This window comes from Homo sapiens, chromosome 20 (genome assembly GCF_000001405.40).
Source record: "Homo sapiens chromosome 20, GRCh38.p14 Primary Assembly".
NCBI lineage: Eukaryota > Metazoa > Chordata > Mammalia > Primates > Hominidae > Homo > Homo sapiens.
This window is the reverse complement of record NC_000020.11, coordinates 29,447,884-29,452,158: the sequence shown is the minus strand read 5'-3', so window position 1 is coordinate 29,452,158 and position 4,275 is coordinate 29,447,884. Positions and strand designations below refer to the sequence as shown.

General features: G+C 49.2%; 1 long non-coding RNA gene and 1 pseudogene across 1 annotated transcript in view, besides 1 other annotated feature; both read right to left on the bottom strand.

Annotated features, from left to right (window-relative positions):
* LOC105379477 (uncharacterized) overlaps window positions 1–3,642 on the bottom strand; it is a 9,665-nt gene extending 6,023 nt beyond the window's left edge. The window contains exon 1 of the long non-coding RNA NR_134504.1: window positions 3,477–3,642. This is a non-coding gene — a long non-coding RNA (uncharacterized LOC105379477). The remainder of the gene's footprint in view (window positions 1–3,476) is intronic.
* Window positions 1–4,275: part of a centromere (Linear centromere model derived predominantly from reads generated in PMID: 17803354. This region does not represent an actual centromere sequence, as long-range ordering of repeats and unmapped WGS contigs is not provided by the model. For details of model production, see http://arxiv.org/abs/1307.0035.) that runs on past both edges of the window.
* On the bottom strand, window positions 2,851–3,652 carry DUX4L35 (double homeobox 4 like 35 (pseudogene); annotated as a pseudogene).

The following is a 4,275-nucleotide window of genomic DNA, read 5'->3' as shown; positions in this document are numbered from 1 at the left end:
GCGTGATTCCTGGTTATTTCAGGGGAGACTATAGTTTAGTGTCCAAAAACACAAAGGGTGGAGTCTGAAAGATCTGGTTTTGCCACTTATCTTTTGGGAACCTCAGTTTCTTTAATCTGGTAATAACAGGCCTTACTGCTCAGGGCTGTTGGGAGGACAGAGTGAAAGATTGGCATTTAAAGGCTCTGCACACAGCAACTTCTGAATCACCGATCCTGGTCAATGGAGAAGCAGCATGACACAGTAGCTACGGAACACAGTTTCAGGGGCCAGGCTGCCTCGGTTTGAATACTAGCTCTGTCACTTGTTGAACTGTATAGTCTTCAAATTACTCACCTTCTGTGTGCCTCAGTTTTCCCATTACTCAAGTACGTATAACAATGGTGCTTAACACCAAATGGCTTTAAGACCTAAAAGCAAAAGGTCAAACTACAAAGTTAATAGAAGATAATGGCAGAGGCCGGGCGCGGTGGCTCACGCCTGTAATCCCAGCACTTTGGGAGGCCGAGGTGGGCGGATCACGAGGTCAGGAGATCGAGACCATCCTGGCTAACACAGTGAAACCCCGTTTCCACTAAAAATACAAAAAATTATACGGTGTGGTGGCGGGTGCCTGTAGTCCCAGCTGCTTGGGAGGCTGAGGCAGGAGAATGGCGTGAACCCGGGAGGCGGGGCTTGCAGTGAGCGGAGATCGCGCCACTGCACTCCAGCCTGGGGGAAAGAGCGAGACTCCATCTCAAAAAAAAAAAAAAAAAAAAAAAAAATAGCCAGGCATAGTGTTGCATGCCTGTTGTCCCAGCTACTCAGGAGGCTGTGGTAGAAAAATCACTTGACCCAGCAGTTAGAGGCTGCAGTGAGCTATGATCATGCCACTGCACTCTGTCCTGGGCGACAGAGCGAAACCCCATCTCAAAACAAGGAACAAACAAAAACCTACAAGCATACTCAGAGATAGTGTGGGTTTGGTTCCAGACAACCGCAATAAGGCAAATGTTACAATCAAGTTAGTCACATAAACATTTTGTTTCCCAGTGCTTATAAAAGTTATGCTTAAACTATGTTGTAGTCTAATGAGTATTTAATAATTAATTATTAATTAATTAATTAATTTGTAACCGCATTACTTCTAAAAAGCTATGTACATACTTTAACTTAAAATTCCTCATTGCTGAAAGATACTAATGGATATCTGAGCCTTACCAAGTCATAATGTTTTTGCTGGTGAGGGTCTTGCCTCTATATTGATGGCTGCTGACTGATCAGCATGGGGGCTGCTGAAGGTTGGATGCCTGTATCAATTTCTTAAAACAACGAAGTTTGTTCCTTTCACAAAAGATTTCCCTGTAGCATGTGATGCTGTTTGATAGCATTTTATCCACAATAGAACTTCCTTCAAAATTAGAGTAAACCCTCTCAAACCCTGCTGCTGCTTTATCAACTAGGTTTGTGGAATATTCTAAATCCTTTGTTGTTATTTCAACAATGTTCATAGCGTCTCCACCTGGAGTAGATTCCACCTCAAGAAAATATTTTCTTTGCTCGTCCATAAGAAGCAACTCCCCATTTGTTCAAGTTTCATCATGAATTCAGAGCAATTTAATCTCATCTTAAGGCCCTAATTCTAATTCTGGTTGCATTGCGATTTCTACCACATCTGTAGGGACTTCCTCCACTGACATCCCAAGCCCTCAAAGTCATCCATGAGGCCTGGAATCAACTTCTTCCAAACTCCTGTTAATGTTGATATTTCAACCTCCTCCCATCAATCACAAATGTCCTTAATGTAATTTAAGGATTGCTATTAAGGACATTTGTGATTCACGGGAGGAGGTTCAAATATCATGAAAGGATTAATGGTGAATCCTTTCCAAAAGGTTTTCAATTCAGTTTATCCAGATTCATCAAAGACATCACTATCTATGATAGCTATACCTTTACAAAATGCATTTATTAATTAATAAAAACACTTGAAAGCCAAAACCACTCCTTGATCCACAGGCTGAAGGACAGATATTGTATTAGCAGCCATGAAAATAACATTAATTTCCAAGTACATCTCCATCTAAGCTTCTGGGTAGCTAGGTGAATTGTCAATAAGCAATAATCTTTTTTCCTTTTTTCTTTTCTTTCCTTTTTTTTTTTTTTTCCTTTATGTAGTTTCACTCTTGTTGCCCAGGCTGGAGGGTAGTGGCATGGTCTCAGCTCACTGCAACCTCTGCCTCCAGGGTTCAAGCCATTCTTCTGCCTCAGCCTCCCAAGTAGCTGAAATTACAGGTACGACCACCATGCCAGGCTAATTTTTTTGTATTTTTAGTAGAGACGGGGTTTCACCATATTGGCCAGGCTGATCTCAAATTCCTGGCCTCGTGATCCACCCACCTCGGCCTCCCAAAGTGCAGGGATTACAGGTGTGAGCCACTGCACCTGGCCAAGCAGCAATCTCTTTAAAGGAATCGTTTTTTTTTTTTTTTCTTCTGAGCAGTAGGTCTCAATAGTGGGATTAAAATATTCAGTAAACCATGCTGTTAACAGATGTGTTGTCACTCAGACTGTGATGTTCCATTTCTAGGGAACAGAAAGAATAGACTTGCATAATTCTTAAGGGCCCTGAGATTTTCAGAGTGGTCAAATGAGCATTGGCTGTAACTTAAAGTCACCAATTGCAGTGGTCCTCAAAGAGAGTCAGCCCATCCTTTGAAGTTTTGAAGCCAAGCGTTGACGTCTCTCTAGTGATGAAAATTTTACATCTTCACTAAGCTTAATCCTTTCTAGCTCTTGACTTAAACTAAGAGACGTGCAGTTCTTCCTTTCATTTGAGCTCTTTGAGGCCACTGTGGTTACTAATTAACACCCCTGGCGGGTGTCAACCTCCTCCCTCAATCGAGTTCACCCACACCGGGGCATGGGGAACGGGGCTTCCTGCACCCCACACACTCTGTGTGCCTGGGGCTCTCCCACAGGGGGCTTTCGTGAGCCAGGCAGCAAGGCCTGGCCCAGCCTGGCCCTGGCCGAGCCAGGCCCTGCCCCAGCCAGGCCGTGCCAGCCCAGCCAGGCTGCACAGGCAGAAGGAATCTCCCAACCTGCCCCGGCATGCGAGGATTTTGTGTTCGCTGCCCTGGCTCCTCCAGAAGTGGGGTTGTCCCACACTCAGACTCCTCGGTGGCCTCTGCACCCCAACAAATGCCAGGAGGACCAGGACCCACAGCACGACGGCCTGCTGGGCGCGTGCTCAGTGGGACAGCTTGGGCCCCCTCAAGCTGAGTCACAGGGCCAAGGTGTGCTTGCGCCACCCACGTCCCACCGGAGTCTGCGGTGGGACTAGAGCCCCAGGTCGCCAGGGCTGCATGGGAAACCAAAGACTGGGCACCTCCAACTCCGAAGCTCGTGACCCCGGAGGCCTCCGTGTCAAGCACAGATGGAAGCCATTCAGGAGCCTCCCAACCGCTCCAGGAGGCAAGGCGCTCCTCTGCACTCACCCCCAGCCTATTAGATGAGCTCCTGTCGACCCTAGAGTTTCAGCAAAAGGCACAACCTTTCCTAGATCCGGCGCCACTGGGGGAGCTGAAGGACGTGGAAGAGCCCACTCTGCTGGAACCACTCTTCAGCCAGGAAGAACACCGGGCTCTGCTGGAGGAGCTTTAGGACGCGGGGTTGGGGCGGCGGCCTCTCTTTCGCGGTGAACTTCTGACTCGGTATGGAGAGGCGTGTCTTCCCTTCCAGCTGACCTGCCTAGGATCCCTGAGTTCCAGGTCCCGTGAGAGACCCCACACAGTGGAGGGCTGTCATTCTTTCCTGAGCATCCCGGGGATCCCAGAGCCCGTCCAGGTACCGGGAGGTGAACCGTCTACTGCTCATGCGCGGGTTTGCAGGCGGAGCTCTCATCCCTTTCCCCCCCACCCACTCGCGTTCTTCAGTAGAGTGGGCGGAGACCTCCATCCCGGGAAACACTGGCCCGGGCAGCCACCAGGCCTGCTCTTCTTTCCTCGTCTGGCTACCTCTGCCTCCCCCCGCCACCGTCACTCGCCTACCCGTGCCCCGCCAGCTTCCTCGCTATCACCGTGGAGCGCCTGACAGCTAAATGCAGACCCGAGACCCCGCGCAAACCGGGGTGCTGCCCTTTCTACGCGGGAGGGAACTCAGGCAGAGATGGGGAGAGGAACGGAGACAGAGAGGGAGGGAGCGATGGAGGGAGGAAAGAACGGATGGACGGAGGGACCTTGGAAGGGATGGAGGGATAGAGGGAGGAAGAGAGGGAAGGAGGGAGGGAGGAAGGGA